General features: G+C 39.9%; 1 protein-coding gene and 1 pseudogene across 18 annotated transcripts in view, besides 1 other annotated feature; one reads left to right on the plus strand and one right to left on the minus strand.

The window, feature by feature from the left end:
• The window catches only part of KIF23 (kinesin family member 23), a 34079-nt gene extending 16463 nt beyond the window's left edge, over positions 1 to 17616 (plus strand). For 5 of the 18 annotated variants that reach the window (NR_160295.2, NM_138555.4, XM_047433369.1 and 2 more), the window contains 13 exons: positions 4672 to 4751; positions 4841 to 4960; positions 5327 to 5450; positions 5753 to 5911; positions 7437 to 7594; positions 9093 to 9266; positions 9497 to 9676; positions 9957 to 10268; positions 13979 to 14230; positions 15198 to 15280; positions 15472 to 15553; positions 16060 to 16130; positions 16981 to 17616. Coding sequence is in view for 16 of the 18 variants with exons in the window: in NM_138555.4 (NP_612565.1) it covers positions 4672 to 4751; positions 4841 to 4960; positions 5327 to 5450; positions 5753 to 5911; positions 7437 to 7594; positions 9093 to 9266; positions 9497 to 9676; positions 9957 to 10268; positions 13979 to 14230; positions 15198 to 15280; positions 15472 to 15553; positions 16060 to 16130; positions 16981 to 16996 (1811 nt within the window). In the remaining 2 variants the exon portion in view is untranslated. The remainder of the gene's footprint in view (positions 1 to 4671; positions 4752 to 4840; positions 4961 to 5326; positions 5451 to 5752; positions 5912 to 7436; positions 7595 to 9092; positions 9267 to 9496; positions 9677 to 9956; positions 10269 to 13978; positions 14231 to 15197; positions 15281 to 15471; positions 15554 to 16059; positions 16131 to 16980) is intronic. The other 13 variants (NR_160296.2, XM_005254799.4, NM_004856.7 and 10 more) reach the window with 5 other exon arrangements.
• Positions 3461 to 4318, minus strand: LOC100421811 (fumarylacetoacetate hydrolase domain containing 1 pseudogene; annotated as a pseudogene).
• Positions 21713 to 21762: an enhancer, noted in NCBI's record as "active region_9654". NCBI's record gives its function as "activates an Ori minimal core promoter by ATAC-STARR-seq in GM12878 lymphoblastoid cells {active_cell/tissue: GM12878}" and the evidence as "EXISTENCE:reporter gene assay evidence [ECO:0000049][PMID:35858748]".

Genomic DNA, 21813 nt, shown 5'->3' on the forward strand with positions numbered 1-21813 from the left:
TAGTATCCACACACTAGATAGGTAGGATTGTATCACACCCATTTTTCAGATGAGGAAATAGGTTTGGGAAGGTTAATTTTCTCAAGGCTGGAGCCAGATTGGTTGGACTCTCATAGCTTGTGTCTTTATACTATGTCATACAGCCTCCCCTTAAAGAAGGATTAGTCTTTTAGAAAGATCATTTTGCCAGTGTAGAGAAATAATTTACCAGGAGCGAGCCTAAATACATGAAAGAGCAGTTAGGAGCCTTTTGCCCCAATTCAGGTAAGCAATTGTGTGACCTGGAGGCAAAGGTCAGACAACACTGAGAGCTAGTTAGGATGTGGAGAATAAGGAGGTGTTTGATTGAGGAGAAGCAGTTTTAGGAGCAGGTATAGGCAGGTAATGAGTTGTATTTGAAATGTTCAATTTATGCAAGTGAAAGTGCCTTGTAATTGGATGCAGAGGTACATGGATTTGGAAGGAGAGAGATTTTGACTTGAGGTTTATAGGTTTAGGCTTTGCCAATAGAGAAATGATTGGCTGGATGCAGTGGCTCACGCCTGTAATCCCAGCACTTTGGGAGGCCAAGGCAGGCGGATCACGAGGTCAGGGGATCGAGACCATCCTGGCTAACAGGGTGAAACCCCATCTCTACTAAAAATACAAAAAAATTAGCTGGGCGTGGTGGTGGGCGCCTGTAGTCCCAGCTACTCGGGAGCCTGAGGCAGGAGAATGGCGTGAACCCGTGAAGCAGAGCTTGCAGTGAGCCGAGATCGCGCCATTGCACTCCAGCCTGGGCGACAGAGCGAGACTCCGTCTCAAAAAAAAAAAAAAGAAATGATTGAAGCAATTGGGTGAGATAAGATAATTCATAGCGAATGGAGAGGAACAAGCTGAGAGCAGAAGCTTGAGGAACAGCAAGCCCTTGATTATTAGCTTGGGATGGACAGAGAAGGGTGATAGCTAAAAGGGATTTGAGGGATTATGAAATGATGAAAAAATACACACACACATTATATATGTACATTAGAAGATAGTAAAGACTTGAGTTTATTCATATGCTGAAGAGATGATGTTTAAGTCCAGTGGTGAGAAATGGGGCCTTTAGAGCTGCCTCTACCCTGGCCCAAAGGACTCTTGCAATTTGTCTGAATCATTTGAATTTCATGAGAGTGGACTGTGTGTGTGCTGTCTGTCAATGTCTACCCAGTGCAGCTTACCTACTAGGTGTTCATAATAAAGTGGTGATTATTGGCGGAGCAAGATCCTGGAAGAGGCAGGAAAATCTGAATCTAGATCCAAGAGGAAGGATTAACTTTGATGGGACAAGAGCTGGTTTGGGAAGAAAGTAAAAACTTGAAGTTTTGGATGCTTTGGGGAAAAGCTAGAAAGGACTGTTAGTGTTAATATAGAGTTAGGGAGTGAGAGAGAAAAGGAGATTGTAGTTGGGGCATATGGCAGAGGCTCCAGGTTTTTAGAAGTGGTACACTTCTGAGGGATAGGGTTTGGGCTGTCAGCTGTAATGGAATAGAGATAAAGATTTACTGGAGCTGGGACATTGGGACCCTGTGACTACAGCATATGAGAATGATTGTTGTTCTCATGGACACCGAAATAAACCAGGGACTGGCATGTAGGAGGAATATTTCAAGGCAATAAGGAGGAACTAGGAAAATGTTGCTAGCCTCTCCCTCTGTTTACCATACTTGTAGAATGTCAGCCTTTAGAAAACAAGTAGCTTTTTTTTTTTTACTCCAAAAGGCTACAGGGCTGCAGCAAGAGATAAATGGTTAGGTTGCAGGGCTGTGTGCCATGGATGTAGGGTGAAGCCTATGGACCCTTCCTGGTATAGTATTTCTGAAGGTATAACACAGAGAGGATTACAGAGGAAACCAATTGCATTGAAATGTGTTTTAAAAGTATTCTTAAGTTTGTCATACAGTAATTATGTGCTTCTTTATTAATACCTTAAAGACACAGCAGCAGGTCTGATTAAATAAATGCAGTGTAATGATGAACATAAATATCTTGATGAGCAACAAACTGTAACATGCTATAAAAATATCTGTGATTTGTATTGATACCAATTACAGGTACTACTAATGCTGTGGTTTTTGGCCTGCATTCATAATTGAAGGAACTAGTGAATTCCAGTTGGTTTGGTAAAAAGTAAATAATGTAATTTATTTTCCATCTAAGTATGCAGACACCCCATCATGTTCCCCCGGACAATATAGACCTCAGGTTAAGAACCCCTGACCACTAGGGAAAGCTATCAATGGATTATTTTGTGAGAGATTTGAAGATGCAGGGAAATCTGTTAATAACATGAGTTCCTGAGAGCACAGTGGAAGAAGAAAGAACATTAGGAGTTTGGGTCAAGGAACGTAAATCATGAATCATGGAATATTACAGAGGTACAGATGAGTTCTGTATTTTGGGAGGTGTATCCAAGATCCTCCAAGGAGGCCAAGGGTGAAAGCATAATCGAGTTAGCTGACCTCAATCAAGGTTTCAAAATGAACTCATTCTTATGGGGTCTAATCAGATGAGAGCTGCATTCTTGAAAGCTTGATTAGACTGTTAGACTTGCCTTGGCTCAGAAATCCAAATAAGAGTGGTCAGAAGTAACAAGTATGCCACCTAAGAAATCCTTGCTGAGATGTAGAGGGGACAGAGTTAGCTGATTCTGAAGACACTTGACTGTTAGAAACAACAGGAGAGCCCCTCTAGATGCAGCAAGAGCTTCAGACTCTTGCATGCTTCTTATGAGAATCTAATGCCTGATTATCTGAGCTGGAATGATTTCATCCCAAACCACACCCCTCAAGCCTCAACCCATCTGTGTAAAAATTGTCTTCCATGAAACTGGTCCCTGATGCCAGAAAGTTTGGGGATCTGCTGCCTTAGAGAATATATTTTATTTATTTATTTTTTATTTTATTTTATTATTTTTATTTTTTAGCCACATAAAAGGTAGCAGCACACTTATTTGGAAAACAATAATTTCAAAATCATCTCCTGAACTCAGAATCGATGGGTCAGGGTAGACACCCTAAGTAAACAGGTGAAATCTTCATTAATTGTTCACTTATTAAGTAAAAATTTAAATTAATTGATTATGTACAGCAGTGTTTTTCCACATTTCCCTGATAAGAATCATTTGGAGTACTCTGTAAACACAGCTTCACTGGAGATTAATCCCATCAAATTGATTTAGTGGCTCTGGGATGGGCCACAGTAGTTTGGAAATTTTTATTTTTACAAATGCTTCCTGATGATGACCAAATCCAAGGAAATTTGGGAAACACTGATCTGGAACATAACTTTCAGTTTTCCCTGCAGTTTTTAAGTCTTGAACGACTGATCATCCTAGAGATAACCCACTGAAAAGTCTTCTCCAATCCAGTTTTATGAAAGAAAACTCTAGAACATTTGGTTTGATAAAATTTTTCCGAAGCACCAGAAGTACTTTACTTTGGCTTTTTAAATTTCTGGTCCATCCCTTCTAGTTCATGTTTTCTTGAAGAATCCATCTTCTTTGAGTTGAGCCACAGCAATCTAATCTTTTTTTTAAATAATTGGTTTCTTATTAAAGGATTGCGACATTTAATAGCCGTTGCTTGCTTTTGTCTTTCTCCCTTCTCCCTGAAACTTGTTAAGAGATGCCTCAATATTCTGGCCTTTCCACCTTCAATCTCATACTGACCACGCCGTGTATGCCAGCCTGGATCTCATAGTTTTCTTTAACTGGTTCAACTCCCTTTGTTGTCCTGGTCAAGATAACATCTCCTTCTTCCAAGGTCATGATCTTAGAAACATAGTTGATGATGTAGGGGATGGAAAAAGTCATGGAGGATGTCTCACCCTCCTGTCTTGAGTTCGCCGTTGACCTTGAGCCAGAGCCTCAGATTGGGAGGATCAGGGATCTTCTCCTTGGGCACGAACGCGCTGACTGGGCAGGAGGCCATAAAGCTCTTGGCCAGAGTCCAAGGCAGCCCCTTCTTCTTGCACTCATCCTGCACGTCCCTGGCAGTAATGTCCAGGCACAGGGCATAGCTGCTCACGTAGTCCATAGCTGCGCGGCCATGCTTGCCCATCACCATGCCCAGCTCCAGCTCGTGGTGCAGGTTGCAGCTGTACGCGGGCATGAGGATGGGCGAGCCCTCAGGTGTGTAGGCCGTGGACAGCTTCAGAAACAGCACGGACTCGCTCAACACCGCGTTGGCATCTCCCTGGTGTGGTCCCCATAGTTCCTCCCCACACAGACGATATTCTTCCCCCACCCCCAGAAGCGGGACGGTGGCCTGGGGGTCGCCATGATTCCTGTCAATTGCCTAGAGAATATATTTTAATATGAGGATATTAAACATCTCTATATAAGATATTCCTTCAGAGAATTTAGGATTTGGAAGAAACCTTATAGTCATTAACTGTAATGTTGCATTTTGTGGAAAATCCTGTTGGTAGAATCCCTGAAGGATGGCTGTTTAACCTTCCCAGAAATACTGCTATTGAAAGAGAGCCTGGACCATGCATAGACAGCTCTTTATATTGAGCCACAAAAATTTGTTATTTATAATTTCTATCTAGTAGTTGTTTGAAGTTGAGATTTTATAGGCAAACAGAACACACTTTAGCTACTATACTGTTGTTCTGAAATGGCGTCTATGTATTTTTTTCTGTCAGGTAATATTAATCAGTCACTAATGACGCTAAGAACATGTATGGATGTCCTAAGAGAGAACCAAATGTATGGAACTAACAAGGTAAGCAGCAGCCTTCTCTGTTCTTTTGTATAGTTTCATTTGTGTGCATTTTTTTTGCGTAACACATTTGGATATGAATGTCTTTGTAGATGGTTCCATATCGAGATTCAAAGTTAACCCATCTGTTCAAGAACTACTTTGATGGGGAAGGAAAAGTGCGGATGATCGTGTGTGTGAACCCCAAGGCTGAAGATTATGAAGAAAACTTGGTAATTTTAATGTATTTGTCCTATAAAGTCTTGAGTTTTTGTCGGGAAAACAGTTACTTGGATGAGCAGAATGACATTTTGAATATTTTAAAAATGGATAGAGAACCATTGATTGTAGAAGTAAACTAGGCTTGGTGTGGTGGCTTATGCTTATAATCCCAACATGTTGGGAAGCTGAGGTGGGACGATCAATTGGGCCCACCTGGGAGGTCGAAGCTGCAGTGAGTCGTGTTCATGCCACTGCACTCCAGCCTGGTGACAGACTGTCTCAAATAAATAAAAATAAGCAATCTTTGCTTCATTTAGTAATTTCTGGGACTTGGATATCCTTATTTTTTTTTAAACTCCATTTGTTTTGTGTTTTAGCAAGTCATGAGATTTGCGGAAGTGACTCAAGAAGTTGAAGTAGCAAGACCTGTAGACAAGGCAATATGTGGTTTAACGCCTGGGAGGAGATACAGAAACCAGCCTCGAGGTCCAGTTGGAAATGGTATGATTTGGTGTTGTATCATTTGTCCACTCATTGGTCTGTCTGTTTCTCTCTTTTTTAAAAAAAATTATTTCATTTAAGAGAAATGTTTACATACCTTCTGAAGAACCAAGCACATAATAATTTGAACAAAATTTAAATGAGCTTATTTTGCATACTATGATTCTTAGGTAAGTAAACTTATGTCAGCTCAAGAAATTGCAATGGTTAGTTGCACTGGGGCTGTATGCAGTGTTAAACTTGTTTAAATAAGCTCTTTCTCTCCTATGTAACTTTTTGTAATTTTCTATAATTCAATACAGAACCATTGGTTACTGACGTGGTTTTGCAGAGTTTTCCACCTTTGCCATCATGCGAAATTTTGGATATCAACGATGAGCAGACACTTCCAAGGCTGATTGAAGCCTTAGAGAAACGACATAACTTACGACAAATGATGATTGATGAGTTTAACAAACAATGTAAGGGCAAAACTATTTGAAATAATTTTATTTAATTATTTTTTTTTTTTGAGACATAGTTTCACTCTGTACCCCAGGGTGGAGTGCAGTGGCACAATCTCGGTTCACTGCAACCTCCGCCTCCTGGGTTCAAGCGATTCTCCTGCCTTAGTCTCCCGAGTAGCTGGGACTACAGGCACATGCCACCACGCCTGGCTAATTTTTGTACTGTTAGTAGAGACGGGGTTTCGCCATGTAGGCCAGGCTGGTCTCAAACTCCTGACCTCAAGTGATCCGCCTGCCTCGGCCTCCTAAAGTGCTGGGATTACAGGCATGAGCCACCACTCCCAGCCAATTTGCAATAATTGTAACTTCTGAAATTGAAAGTATTTTCAATGAATCTGAGTTATATGGTAGATTGCATATTTAAGGAAGTTAAAGAAAATTGTGTCTTTAGAACTTTGAAGCACTCAAGGCATTGTTTGATTAGTATGACAAGGCATTTTTCCACAGCTCTTTTTTGTATTCTAAGGAAGTCAAAAAGAAAAAAGTGAGCGTGTGTTCTTTCTTTTGTTTTTTACAGTGATGGAGACACAAAGAAATATTTTTTAGTTTCCCCTGTCTACATAGTGGGGATTGTAATTGTTTCTACCTCAGGATATGTTGTGAAGATAAATAAGATAAAGTATGAAAATCCTGTAGAACAGTAAATTCTGGTACATAGTGAATGTATCTCAGTGAATGAATGTATCTACTTTTTTTTTTTTTTTTTTTTTTGAGACTGAGTCTCGCTCTGTTGCCCAAGTTGGAGTGCAATGGCGCAATCTCGGCTCACTGCAACCTCCGCCTCCTGGGTTCAAGCGATTTTCCTGCCTCAGCCTCCTGAGTAGCTGGGATTATAGGTGCACACCACCACGCCCTGCTAATTTTTGTATTTTTAGTAGAGACGGGGTTTCACCATGTTGGTCAGGCTGGTCTCAAACTCCTGACATCGTGATCCACCCACCTTGGCCTCCCAACATGCTGGGATTACAGACGTGAGCCACCATGCCTGGCTCTACTATTTTTATTATCATTATTCATTTGAATCTTTACCAAAAAGTTGTGAGATAAAGTGGTATTTAAATTTCCATACTGAAATGAAATTTGCCCAGAAATATTAATTAACTCGCCTAAGTCATAACTAGTAAGTGATGTTCCAAGGATTTCAGCTCAGGTTTAATTAATCCCAAATAGTAGTGTTGTTTCTATTTTTGCGTTTGTTGTTGTGAAGCAAAGTACCTGTAAGGATTGGGAAGAGAATGCTATAGTGCACAGTGAAAGACTTGAGTATTTTTTCAGCATTTAACAGAAAGCTTCTGTGAATATCTTGTCAACTGGAGAATGAAGCTCCTGATTTCCCTCTAAACTTGTTTTCTCATTATAGACTGATTCTCACAGAGATTTGCTGAATAACTACATTTTATCTAGTGTCTGCTAGCAAAAGTTGATATCATTGTTTGTTTTAGAACTGGTGTAAAACTTGACCTGTATGTTTTTGTTTCAGCTAATGCTTTTAAAGCTTTGTTACAAGAATTTGACAATGCTGTTTTAAGTAAAGAAAACCACATGCAAGGGAAACTAAATGAAAAGGAGAAGATGATCTCAGGACAGAAATTGGAAATAGAACGACTGGAAAAGAAAAACAAAACTTTAGAATATAAGGTTTGTTTTGACATTATTATGATAGATGTATGTGCTGGTGTTTTAGCACTGTTCTCTGAGGGAGATATTGTGCTCCAACGGCCTGTAAATGCTGCTTATTAAGAGTTCTCGGTTGAGTGCGGTGGCTCATGCAGGTAATTCCAACACTTTGGGAGGCTGAGGTGGCCAGATCATCTGAGGTCAGGAGTTCAAGAACGAGCCTGGCCAACATGGCAAAAGCCCATCTCTACTAAAAAAGTACAAAAGTTAGCTGGGCGTGGTGGCGAGTGCCTGTAATCCCAGCTACTCAGGAGGCTGAGGCAGGAGAATCGCTTGAACTGGGGAGGTGGAGGTTGCAGTGAGCCGAGATTGAGCCACTGCACTCCAGCCTGGGCGACAAGAGCAAGACTCTGTCTCAAAAAAAAAAAGAGTTCTCAGGCTGAGTGCGGGGGCTCATGCCTGTAGTCTCAGCACATTGGGAGGCCAAGGCAGGGAGATCACTTGAGCCCAGGAGTTCCAGACCAGACCGGGCAACGTGGCGAAACCCCATATCTACAAAAAAAATTAGCCAGGCATGGTGGTACATGTCTGTAGTCCCAGCTACTCGGAAGGCTGAGATGGGAGAACAGCTTGAGCCTGGGAGGTTGAGGCTGCAGTGAGCTGGGATTGCACGACTGCACTCCAGCCTAGGTGACAGAGCGAGAGCCTGTCTCAAAAAAAAAAAAAAAGTTCTCAATTGGTTGTTTACTAATCCTCATCCCATGCTAAGGAGGAAATGTGAGTGAAATGAAGAATCATATGTTCTTTAATTTTATGAGAGTTTTAACAGTTGAAAAGGATGTTCTCTGACCCAAACAAGGGAGCTTTCTAGAGCTTAGCTTTGGTTGTAGCTTGCTTTTGAATTTATTAGAAATATTTCCTTAGTATGCTTTTTTTTTTTAATGAGATAAATGATTAAATGAAATGGTATAAAAGTGCCAGCATCGGGCCTTGGACGTAACAGATACTCAGTAAAGCTTAATTGGATCTGTATTTGGTTTACAAATCGATTGTAAAAGTATAAACTCAGGATTAATCTCTTACAATGGGGTAGAAGGAAATACCGTTTTGTTGGGAAGCATTGCAGCACTGTGTAATGTATGTCTGTTCTCTCATTTACAGAGGGTCATTTAGAGGTTTGGTGGGGGTACACATTCATAAGAGAAGTTAGTCTCAACCAATATAGTTTTTTTAAATTCTGAAAATAGCCTAAAAACTAAATTTTAGCCCTTAATTTTAGGAGAAAGTAATTTTCACATGAAGTTAGTTGTAAATGTCTTTGGGTGAGGAGCTTGTTTAACATGTTTTCATTTCTGAGAATGGGGGTGGGAATTCAGATGAAATGTTAGAGAAAAAAGTGCTTTCTCCATGATGTTTCTTTCCACAAATATGCTTGCATAAGCAAATTAAGGAAGACTATTTTATAGCGACATGAAATGTTTATATACCAAATATTGAACATAGTGGTCTACCTTCCTAGATTGAGATTTTAGAGAAAACAACTACTATCTATGAGGAAGATAAACGCAATTTGCAACAGGAACTTGAAACTCAGAACCAGAAACTTCAGCGACAGTTTTCTGACAAACGCAGATTAGAAGCCAGGTTGCAAGGCATGGTGACAGAAACGACAATGAAGTGGGAGAAAGAATGTGTGAGTATCGTTTGGGTAGTGCTTGTCTCAGAGTCGGATGATTTATTTTACATTGTAGTTAGGTTCGATATTTTGAATTATTGTATTTGCGGTAGGGTTTTGGTGGTGGTTGTTAACTCTCAGGAAGAATTGGAGAACTGTCATTTTTAGGAAATAAAGAGATTGGGTAATCTGGTGTACTCGTTTGCTGTGATGGAATGATAATATACATTGCCACTGATAATCTGTAGGAGCGTAGAGTGGCAGCCAAACAGCTGGAGATGCAGAATAAACTCTGGGTTAAAGATGAAAAGCTGAAACAACTGAAGGCTATTGTTACCGAACCTAAAACTGAGAAGCCAGAGAGACCCTCTCGGGAGCGAGATCGAGAAAAAGTTACTCAAAGATCTGTTTCTCCATCACCTGTGCCTGTAAGTTATTTGTAATTGTGTAGTAACTTTGTACTAGAGAAATTTTGTTCAGATTAGATGACTATTTCTATGAGGATTTTTACATTTTATAATACTTACATTTCTGAAATTTCTCTAAAAATATTTTAAAATTTAGAATAAACACAAATTTAGCACAAAAAAATAGAACAAATAATTATTTGTAATGTTAAGTCTTCATGTGCTAACATTATAGAAAAGTAATGAATTGTTTCTCTCAGTTTTTCAGTCTTGCTCATTAATTTTTCTCCAATTTTTCTAGCTTTCTAGTAACTATATTGCTCAGATTTCCAACGGCCAGCAACTCATGAGCCAGCCACAGCTACATAGGCGCTCTAACTCTTGCAGCAGCATTTCTGTAGCTTCCTGTATTTCGGAATGGGAGCAGAAAATTCCTACGTACAACACACCTCTCAAAGTCACATCTATTGCAAGGCGTAGGCAGCAGGAGCCAGGACAAAGCAAAACTTGTATCGTGTCAGACAGAAGGCGAGGGATGTACTGGACTGAAGGCAGGGAGGTGGTTCCTACATTCAGAAATGAGATAGAAATAGAAGAGGATCATTGCGGCAGGGTTAGTGCCAGTATTATTTTAACGCATTGTAGCAATAGATTTTATCTTCTTTGTTTTTTGTAACTTGTGTCTGAAAGTTCATTGGAAAAATGGTTGGGCTATAGTATAAAGAAGGTCTAATTTCTCAGTTAATTTGAAAGATTGACTTACGGAAATTGAGGCCTGGCTCCTCATCTGAAAAAGCCTAAACACATCTGGCAGCGGAAGTGTGTTCAGTGAACACAGGTCAGTTTGGTGCATCCCAGAGTAGTCTGAGCTTTTCAGCTGCATACGCTAATAAGCTTTGCACAGAATTGGTGAATGTGTCTTAAAGCATACTTTCCATATTTTTCTTTTGGTTCCCCTTCCCCAAATTAGATTTTTTATACCTCCTTTCATGCCCTAGTTTTAAAAATTGTTTTCCCAAATTTTTATTTTGAAAAATTTCAGACCCAAAGCAAAGTAGAAAGAATAGTATGGTAATGTCTTTCCCTCCTTGCCTAAGTTTACCAATTGTTACTTGATATAGATATGTAAACCTTTTTCCCCTAAGCCTTGTGAAAGGAAATCACAGACTTAGAGACACTTAATCTCTAAGAATAAGGACATTGTACTACCTAGCCACAATCTTTATCACATCCAAGAAAATCAACATTAATTAATTATCCTCTATTGAGACATTGTGCAGTTGTCCCAAAATTGGATTGGCTTTTCTTTTTTTTTTTTTAAAGACAGAGTCTCACTCTGTCACCCAGGATGGAGTGCAGTGGCATGATTATGGCTCACTGCAGCCTCAGTCTTCCTGAGCTGAAGTGATCCTCTCACCTCAGCCTCCCAAGTAGCTGAGATTACGGGCAGGCCACCATGCTAATTTTTTATTTTCAGTAGAGACAAGGTCTCACCATGTTGCCCAGGCTGGTATTGAACTCTTGAACTCCAGCAATCCTCCTGCCTTGGCCTCCAAAGGTGCTGAGATTACAGGCAAGCCACTGCACCAGCCAGCTTTTTTTTCAATCCATGATACTATGAAAGTGTATGCATTGCATATCATGATTATGTCTTTCATCTCTTTTAATATAAAATAGTCTCACCCTGTCCCCCTACTTTTTTTATTTTTATGACATTGACTATTTTCATTGAAGAGTTTAGGCCAGTTATTTTAAAATTACTGATTTCCATGCCCAATAAATTGCTTTTAATCTTGAGGCATTTATCTCAATTTACATTTGCCTCATTCAAGGGTATTTAAATAAATTCACTTTCATATTTTTCTTCTTAAAGATTAAGGTAAAGTTTCTTTTGAATCTGAATAAATGGACCAAGTTAATGTTTGCGAATTTTATATTTAGTAAAATCTTCACAAAGCTCTCTTAGAATATTTCTTCTAAATCTTACAGTAAACATTTACTTTAGATTTTCTTATATAAGTCAGGGTATAGATGAATGTTCATTTATGTGGCCTGAATTCCTGATTATTAAGGGATGGTGATGAATCCCAAGTTATTTACCAGGGAAACAGATGATTCTAAAGTCTCTTAAGTTCTTTACTTTGCAGATTTTTCCTTAAACATTTTTAGACAGCAAATTAGGTAAATGGTCATTCTGACCAACTCTAGTCAGTCATTTTATGAAAGTTTATAGGCTGAAAACTATTCAAGGCTTGCGTATGCCTTGCAAACCGTAATGAGATATCTAATTTGGCTATGAGATATTTAAGGGAATTTACTAGAGATTCTTACGTGAAATCAAAATCTCTTTAGAAGTGCAGCAGAAAAGTTACTGTAAGGTTAGTATCTGTGCATCTAAGTTTGTTGGTCAAAAATTATGTCAGGTGGACTGAATTTATACTTCAGTGAGGAAAAAATTTAAATATTTGTTTCATAAATGCTAGTAGATTGTATGGATTATCATCTTTCTGAAGTGTGTTTCATCATATGCTTATTGTTAAATGTTTGAAGAAAACCTTTGTTTTTGCTAAATGGTAGATGATAAGGACCAGACTTTCTTTCGTGTTCAACATTAAATAAATCATTGTAGGAATGGAAAGTTCCTGTTTGTCTTGAGGCTCAGCATCTTTAGTGGCAAACTGTATTGCCCATGTCTTAGAGCTGTCACTAGTGCTGCATTTGTTTCTTGTTAACTATATAGCGAAAATGATTCAGTTCCTCAGATGTGCATTTTGAAATTGAGGTCTTCATACTTGACTAGCTTTGACAGATTTGGCCTGTGATAGACTTTTTCCATTTGCTTTCAGTTTTGTTTTTTGGGTTTTTTTTTTTTTTTTTTTTTTTTTTTTTTGAGATGAGGTCTTGATCTGTTGCCCAGGCTGGAGTGCAGTGGTGTCATCTAGGCTCACTGCAGCCTTGACCTTCCAGGCTCAAGTGATCGTTCTACCTCAGCCTCCTGAGTAGCTGGGACCACAGGCATGTGCTATCGCACCTGGCTAATTTTTAAATTTTTTGTAAAGATGGGGTCTTCTTACATTGCCTAAGCTGGTCTCGGGTGATCCTTCTCCCACCTCAGCCTCACAAATGTTGGGATAACAGGTATGAGCCACTGCACCCAGCCCTGCTTTCAGTTTTACAAACAGGAGATGTTCATAAAATTCTAAAGATAATTCATTGCTTCAAACTATAACTATGGCATATATGTGACATATTATTTTCTTAGGCTGAATGTGCTTAATTTAGCATTCCCAGGTTTACATGACATTTGACTGGAAGCAACTTGTTTGTTTTTGAGGCAGGGTCTCATTCTATTGCCCAGGCTGGAGTGCAGTGGTGCGATCTTGGCTCACTGCAATTTCCACCTCCTGGGCTCAAGCAATCCTCCCACCTCAACCTCCTGAGTAGCTGGGACTACAGGCACGTGTCACCAAGCCCAGCTAATATATATATATATATTTTTGTTTGTTTTGTTTTGTTTTGTTTTTGTTGAGTCTGGGTTTCACCATGTTGCCTAGGCTGAACTTGAACTTCTGAGTTCAAGTGATTCCTCCACCTCGGCCTTCCAAAGTGCTGATTACAGGCATGTACCACCATGCCTGGCCTAGCAACTAGTCTTTTATTGTGTGATAGAGACTGATTTGACACTGTATTATTTATTTGTTTCTTGGAACCTGTATGAAATGTTTGGGGGAAAAATTAGTTGGTATATTGTAGCCATTACTGTATTTGAACTTTTCATGAAGTTCTATTATGAGATTTTAAAATCTTAACTGAAAGCACTCAGAAGTATTTCACATTTCTTTAATCATTTTATTCATATGGTTCTTATTATACCTATGTTCTTAGGATTGTTTTCTGTTTTGTTTAGAAGCCTAGAAAATGTGTAGGGCTTTCATTGATCTTATTGAAGATTTTAACAGAGTTGTGGACATAATAGATTACCTCTCAATAGCAGGGATAAATATTGGTTTTTGATCAAGAATATGAAATGAGTTGTTTGTCCTGAACCACCCCCAAGCAGGAAAGACTTGCAGCATTACCAGAATTTTTTCTTTTATCCTTTATTGAAAGGGAAACTCCCAGATAGAATGTGTAACATACAAGTTGGTGTTAAAGATGTTTGTTGGTTTTGTGTTTAAATGCAAAGATCATGTTTAAATTACTTGAATAAAATATTTAGCTTTGGAAAGGTTTGCTATGATACTGTCATCAACTAATGTAGCCAAACCTGCTGCACTTCTAATAATACCCTTAAATTAATTCTGGGTTATGCTTGTTTCTCAGTTACTCTTTCAACCTGATCAGAACGCACCACCAATTCGTCTCCGACACAGACGATCACGCTCTGCAGGAGACAGATGGGTAGATCATAAGCCCGCCTCTAACATGCAAACTGAAACAGTCATGCAGCCACATGTCCCTCATGCCATCACAGTATCTGTTGCAAATGAAAAGGCACTAGCTAAGTGTGAGAAGTACATGCTGACCCACCAGGAACTAGCCTCCGATGGGGAGATTGAAACTAAACTAATTAAGGTAAAAAACTAATTTTCACAGGAGAAAAAAATATATTTAAAAATTCAACAAAAGTCCATTTGTCCTGCTACTCCTTTGGTGACACACAGGTAGTGTCAACTGGAACATCAGTAGGTATTTGATATAACCTTTTTGTTAGCAGAAAATTAGTCACTGCTTAGGTTTTAAGTCTGCCAAACTGGGACTAAGTATGCTTTAAATAGGTATAGATTCTTCGGTTTCTTAGAATTCTAGATCCATGATGTACTTTAATTTTTTAATGACTGTATATTTAGTTTTAACCACTACTTAAAGTAATCTAAGCAAAGAATTCCTATTGCTCTCCATCAGTTCAAGATAAAAAAACAAAAACAAAACAAAACGAAACCTATGTTAAAATTTGACCCGTCAAAATTACTCAGTATTGAGCTGCCTAAAGCCGTTTTCCAGAAAGAGACTTGCCTGACTATAGAAGAATTCCCCTTTGATCATAGGGTCAGTGAATAATCAGGAAAGTAAAAGATAAGACCAAAAAAAAAAAAAGCTTTTTATTTCAATTTCAATTTAGAGTTTTTGTTCTTATTATAATTAGCTACAAATAAGACTATACTGTCATTTGAATATGGGCAACAGGGGGCACTCAGAGAAGAAAGTACCATGCCTTAGAGCGTGTAGAAACTTCCAGCAAATTTCTTGATCCTTAGTGCAGTTTAGTTTTTAAATTACAGATGGAGCAAAAGGAATATTTTTTTCTGCAATTATGAATGTTACTGATTACATTGAATTGGACTTCTTTTATTTGTGAGAGATATGTACTCAAATTTCTAAATTATTTTGATAGTACGTACTCAGCAAGTACCAAGTACCATCTGATTTTGTGGATGGGAATTTCTATAAAATAGAATCATGAGAACAGTTTGAAATATATATGTGTGTTTTTCGTTTGGGTGTATCAATGTGTAACAGTGACCTTTTCTTTTGGCTTTAGGGTGATATTTATAAAACAAGGGGTGGTGGACAATCTGTTCAGTTTACTGATATTGAGACTTTAAAGCAAGAATCACCAAATGGGTAAGTAACCATCAAAAATCTCTGTATAAAAGTTGGTCATTTTCTTAGCTGCTCATTTTGGAGGAACAGAATAGCCTGTGAAATGTATCATTAATTCTCCAAAGGGATGTAGATAGTATTCCCCTACTTCTAATATTTTTCCTCTTCTTAGATGGAAAAATAATTGTTGCATCATGTTTCCCCTTTTTCAGTAGTCGAAAACGAAGATCTTCCACAGTAGCACCTGCCCAACCAGATGGTGCAGAGTCTGAATGGACCGATGTAGAAACAAGGGTAGGGGAAAAATTAAATATTTGTCTGCCTACTAAAATTAGGTTTGTCATGTTTTAAACCCCACAGCTCTAGATTTTTATGCTCTTTGAAAATGCTGAGGTATAATCTCACATTGCCAGTGCACCATGTAGGCCTATTCCTAGAATAACAAGAATCCACTTCATCAGGAACTCCCTTGCAAGTGTTATTCCTGAGGAGAATCTCTTGGAAAGAACATGGGAAGGTAGGGGTCAGGAGGCTAAGCTATGGCCTTAGCCACCAACTCTCTTTGCAAACTTATCTAAAATGAGATAAGTTACCTGGATGACCTAAAGACCTTTCTGGCTCACAACATTTGTGGCCTGTGCCAGAAATAAATTACGAGTGACTGGTGTTTTAACGTAAGAGTCTTTGCTGAACTAGAAAGCAATATTGCATTTCACCTAGGTGTGGAGCCTGCTAAATAACTGTGTTTTATAGACTATTGAGAGGAGCTGATCTTTTTCCTCTTGTCATTTTCCTCTCAGTGTTCTGTGGCTGTGGAGATGAGAGCAGGATCCCAGCTGGGACCTGGATATCAGCATCACGCACAACCCAAGTGAGTACTGACTGTAATTGGGGTCTTGCTGTGTGCTTTTTTCCTCCTCTGGTCTTTACATTATCACTCCTTCTACCAGCCATCCACTTATTCTTCAGAAGAAATATATGGTTTTGGTTTTCCCCTTGGACTATCTGGGCCTCCATGGGCAGACTGCAGTAGGCAGCTGGAATGCTGAGAGCCTCAGAAGGCTGGATAAGAGCAATCAGAGCTGCAAGGCAGGCGGTGGTGGAAGATTGGTGGCTCATGTTCATATTCTGCCAACGCTCATAAAGCTTTCTGAGGCTGAACTGAGAGTACCTCTAAGGAGGGAAGGCTAAAGGCTTAAGTTGGAGACTAGACAGCTTTGTGTAAATCATTGTTTCCTGACTTGCTTCTTGGTCTTGGTGTAGCAATAGGTGTTCACTAAAATAAATAACACTGAATGAAAGAATTTATAGTAGGGAAGGAATCATACCTTTTCTTCTTCTGTTAAACTTATACTCAGGAGTCTGACCCAGTCTTTTTCCATATTTTAATAAAATCCCTTCTTTACAAATACATACATATATGTATATCACATGTTATATACATATATGTATATAAAATGTTATATGTATATAACATTTTAAACATTTACATACCTTACTGAGCAATTTAGAAAATTGTTGCAGCAGGATAAAGATGGGAAATCCTTTCTAAATTTAATACTAAGATAAGCATATTTTATAAAAGTTGTTTGCTTTCTCAGAGGGACTTGAATTATCTCATCATAAAACAGCAGTTCTCAAAGGCCTCCTAAAGATTGATTTGCTATGAATGTGTTACTAATTGCAAAGTTCAACTCTAAGTGCTGGTTGTTATGTTTTAGGCGCAAAAAGCCATGAACTGACAGTCCCAGTACTGAAAGAACATTTTCATTTGTGTGGATGATTTCTCGAAAGCCATGCCAGAAGCAGTCTTCCAGGTCATCTTGTAGAACTCCAGCTTTGTTGAAAATCACGGACCTCAGCTACATCATACACTGACCCAGAGCAAAGCTTTCCCTATGGTTCCAAAGACAACTAGTATTCAACAAACCTTGTATAGTATATGTTTTGCCATATTTAATATTAATAGCAGAGGAAGACTCCTTTTTTCATCACTGTATGAATTTTTTATAATGTTTTTTTAAAATATATTTCATGTATACTTATAAACTAATTCACACAAGTGTTTGTCTTAGATGATTAAGGAAGACTATATCTAGATCATGTCTGATTTTTTATTGTGACTTCTCCAGCCCTGGTCTGAATTTCTTAAGGTTTTATAAACAAATGCTGCTATTTATTAGCTGCAAGAATGCACTTTAGAACTATTTGACAATTCAGACTTTCAAAATAAAGATGTAAATGACTGGCCAATAATAACCATTTTAGGAAGGTGTTTTGAATTCTGTATGTATATATTCACTTTCTGACATTTAGATATGCCAAAAGAATTAAAATCAAAAGCACTAAGAAATACATAGTTGTGTGATGGCTGTTCATTCAACACGTCCTCCCAGCACCTGGCACAGTGCCCTGCATTTACCTGGCACTCATTGTTTGCGGGATGAATTAAAAGAAAGCTCTAAAAAATACAAGATAATATGATGTTAAACGGACAATGCCTTTTTTTATGTGACAACCATAATTATCTACATATTAAGTATGACTTCTAGACATTTAAACAAAAAGCATAGTTTGGGGACAACATAAATTAGAAAAAATACTGTCGAAACCATGGTGAAATATCCCATTGCATGGGTGAACACACATTTTACTTGGATTTAATTTGGATTTCTTTTGAGGCTGAGCTTTTTTTTTTTTTGAGATGAGTTTCGCTCTTGTTGCCTAGGCTGGAGTGCAATGGCACGATTTTGGCTCACCGCAAACTCTGTCTCCTGGGTTCAGGCAATTCCTCTGCCTTAGCCTCCGAGTAGCTGGGATTACAGGCATGCGCCACTACGCCCAGCTAATTTTGTATTTTTAGTAGAGATGGTTTCTTAATGTTGGTCAGACTGGTTTTGAACTCCCAACCTCAGCCACCTGCCTCGGCCTCCCATAGTGCTGGGATTACAGGTGTGAGCCACTGTGCCCGGCCACTTTTTTTTTTTTTTAACTAAAATGATAGTTTAATCTTTTGTTATTAATAATAAAAGTGTGATATCAGTCCTTGCCAAAAGCCAACTCAAAAGTTAAGGGAGAAGACAAAATGCACTAGTCACTCACAGTATAGTAGTAAACAATGTCATATATGTGTGTGTGTGTGTGTTTTTGAGGGGAGGGATGGATTTTCACTCTTGCCCAGGCTTGAGTGCAATGGCGCAATCTCGGCTCACCGCAACCTCCGCCTCCTGGGTTCAAGCGATTCTCCTGCCTCAGCCTCCCCAGTAGCTGGGATTAAAAGCATGAGCCACCAGGCCCAGCTAATTTTGTATTTTTAGTAGAGACGGGGTTTCTCCATGTTGGTCAGGCTGGTCTTGAACTCCTCAGGTGATCCGCCCTCCTCAGCTTCCCAAAGTACTGGGATTACAGGCGTGAGCCACTGCACCTGGCCTATATGTGTGTTTTTAGAACGCTTCAGGACACTAAAGGTTAAATTGCTATTGCAGTAGATACAGAATTTATTTCTTGATTTTCTTCTTAAAGTTTTTTTTTTAGAAACAGGGTCTTGCTCTGTTGCCCAGGCTGAAATGCAGTGGTGCAATCATGGCTCACTATAACCTCAAACTCCTGGATTCATGTGATCCTCCTGCCTCAGCCTCCCAAGAAGCTGGGACTACAGGTGCTCACCACCATGCCCAGCTAATTAAATTTTTAAAAATATTTTTGTAGAGCTGGTGTCTTGCTATGTTGCCTAGGCTGGCTTTTTTCTTTCTTTTTTGAGATGGGGTCTCATTCTGTCACCCAAAATGGAGTGCAATGACATGATCACAGCTCACTGTAGTCTCAACCTCCCAGGCTCAAGCAATCCTCTCACCTCAGCCTCTTGAGTAGCTGCAACTACAGGCAAATGCCAGCACACCTGGCTAATTTTTTATTTTTTGTAGAGATGGGGCCTTGCTCTGTGGCCTTGTCTGGTCTCAAACTCCTGGCCTCAAGCAATCCTCCCGACTTGGCCTCCCAAAGTGCTAGAATTACAGGCATGAGCCACAGCACCCAGCCTGCTTTTTAAATTATTATTTAAAATAATAGAGACAGCCCGGGCATGGTGGCTCACAACTGTAATCCCAGTACTTTGAGAGGCTGAAACAGGATGGCTTGAGGTCAGGAGTTCAAGACCAGCCTGAGCAACATGGTGAAATCCCATCCCTACAAAAAGTTTAAAAATTAGCCAGGTGTGGTGGCACGCACCTGTAGTCCCACCTACTGGGGAGGCTGAGGTGGGAGGATTGCCTGAGCCTGGGAGGCAGTGGTTGCAGGGAGGCAGTGGTTGCAGTGAGTTGTGATGGCACCACTGTGCCCCAGCCTGGGCAATGGAGTGAGACCCTGTCTCAAAAACAAACAAACAAAAAATTAATAGAGACTGGGTCTCACTATGTTGCCCCAGGCTGGTCTTGAACTCCTGGGCTCAAGCGATCCTCCCGCCTTGGCCTCCCAAAAGTGTTTGGATTACAGGCATGAGCCACCATGACCTGCCCCAGCCCACTTAAAAAAAAAAAATTTAGCCGGGCACAGTGGTTCACCCCTGTAATCCCAGCACTTTGGGAGGCCAAGGTGGGTGAATCACCTGAGGTTAGGAGTTCGAGACCAGCCTGGCCAACATGGTGAAACCCTGTTTCTACTAAAAATACAAAAAATTAGCTGGGCATGGTGGCACACGCCTATAATCTCAGTTACTCTGGAGGCTGTGGCAGGAGAATCGCTTGAACCTGGGAGGTGGAAGTTGCAGTGAGCCGAGATCGTGCCATTGCACTCCAGCCTGGGGAACAAGAGTGAAACTCCGTCTCAGAAAAAAAAAATTTTTTTTAATGGCTTATTGCATAGTATTTTCAAAATATTAATAGGAAATTTTTACTACGATAGGAGAATATGGGGCAGTGGAATTTGTCTGAAGTAACTGTTGAATCCACTAAGTCCTTCATCAACACAAAAGGAAATGCATGAGTACTGATGTTTTGCTTAACTACTTCTCTTGAATAGCTGTGGTTAGTGCTTACTGTTTGATACCCTGTAAAAAGTATTATCTATAATATATAGATGGAGAAGAAGATTATTTCCTCAATGACCACAAAGTGCCACTTGTCAACCAGATCAGTTTTGTTTTTTTGAGAGGGAGTTTTGCTCTTGTTGCCCAAGCCGGAGTGCAATGGCACAATCTCAGCGCAATGCAACCTCCGCCTCCTGGGTTCAAGCGATTCTCCTGCTTCAGCCGCCCTAGTAGCTGGGATTACAGGTGCCCGCCACCACGCCCAGCTAAATTTTTTGTATTTTTAATAGAGACAAGGTTTCACTATGTTGGCCAGGCTGGTCTCGAACTGCTGACCTCAGGCTATCCACCCGCCTCAGCCTCCCAAAGGGTTGGGATTGCAGGCGTGAGCCACCGCACCCGGCAGATCAGTTTTTTATGTACACTGCTGGACAAACAGTATTTTGGACTGACTCATTGTAGCTTTGGAAATGTTTGGATTTTTTAATAGCTTTAACCTTTCTTGACCAAAATTCCACTATAATGGCTGCTTAGATTTGGATGAAAACTCAACAGCTTTATTTTTTAAAAGTTTGATAGCTTTATAAATGCTTTTTTAAAAAATTCCGGATGTGAAAATATTTATGTTTGTAGTTAAGATTGACCCAAGTGGGACTCTAGATCGGTGGATTCCAACAGAAATGTTTCTTCAGAGATGATTATTAAATAATGGGATGGACTAAACAAAGAAGGTGCCCCCCCCCCACCAAAAAAAAAGATATATATACATAGAACTAACTTTCCGGTAAACTAAGCAAATTCCACGAGGAATGCAAAGATGACCATTTTTGAAGGTAGGAATTTAAATTGGGTTTAGATAACAAATAACGGGTTGTAGACAGCTTACCCATAATCCCTCCTTCCCCCAAGCACTAGGCAGTGAAGTTAGACTTCTGGATTCCACCTCCACGCTCACCGCGCGGCACTATGCAATCTTCGGTTAGTTACCAGGTCTAAGTTAGGCTTCTGGATTCCAACTCCACGCTCCACCGCGCGGAACTATGCAATCTTGAGTTAGCTACCGGGTCTAAGTTAGGCTTCTAGATTCCAAATCCACGCTCCACTGCGCGGTAACTACATAATCTTGGGCTAGTTTACCAGCTCTAAGACTTAATTTTGCCATATGCAAGATGGAGATAACATCCAACTCCTGGTGTGTGAGGATTACGTGAATCCTTGCAGAATGTGGCTCAGTGCCTGGGACATAGTAAGCGCTCTACGGCTTCTGCTAGCATAACGCTGTTAGTTTCTCTCATCCTCCTACATCTACCTATCTCAACCAAGGTCCTGCGCTAAGCAGGGGCCTCCAAGCTGGGACGCAGCCCTTACTCTCAGGGTCAGCGCCGGCTGGGAAGGCCGCGACCTAACCAGGAGATTACGAACAATGTCACCAGGGCCACAGCGGAGCTCCTGCCAAGTCAAGCAACTCATGGAACCAACGGAGGCGAAGTCCGAATACCTAGGCAACCCTAACCTAAAAGTGTTTTTAACG

Source organism: Homo sapiens, chromosome 15 (assembly GCF_000001405.40).
Source record: "Homo sapiens chromosome 15, GRCh38.p14 Primary Assembly".
Taxonomy (NCBI): Eukaryota; Metazoa; Chordata; class Mammalia; order Primates; family Hominidae; genus Homo; species Homo sapiens.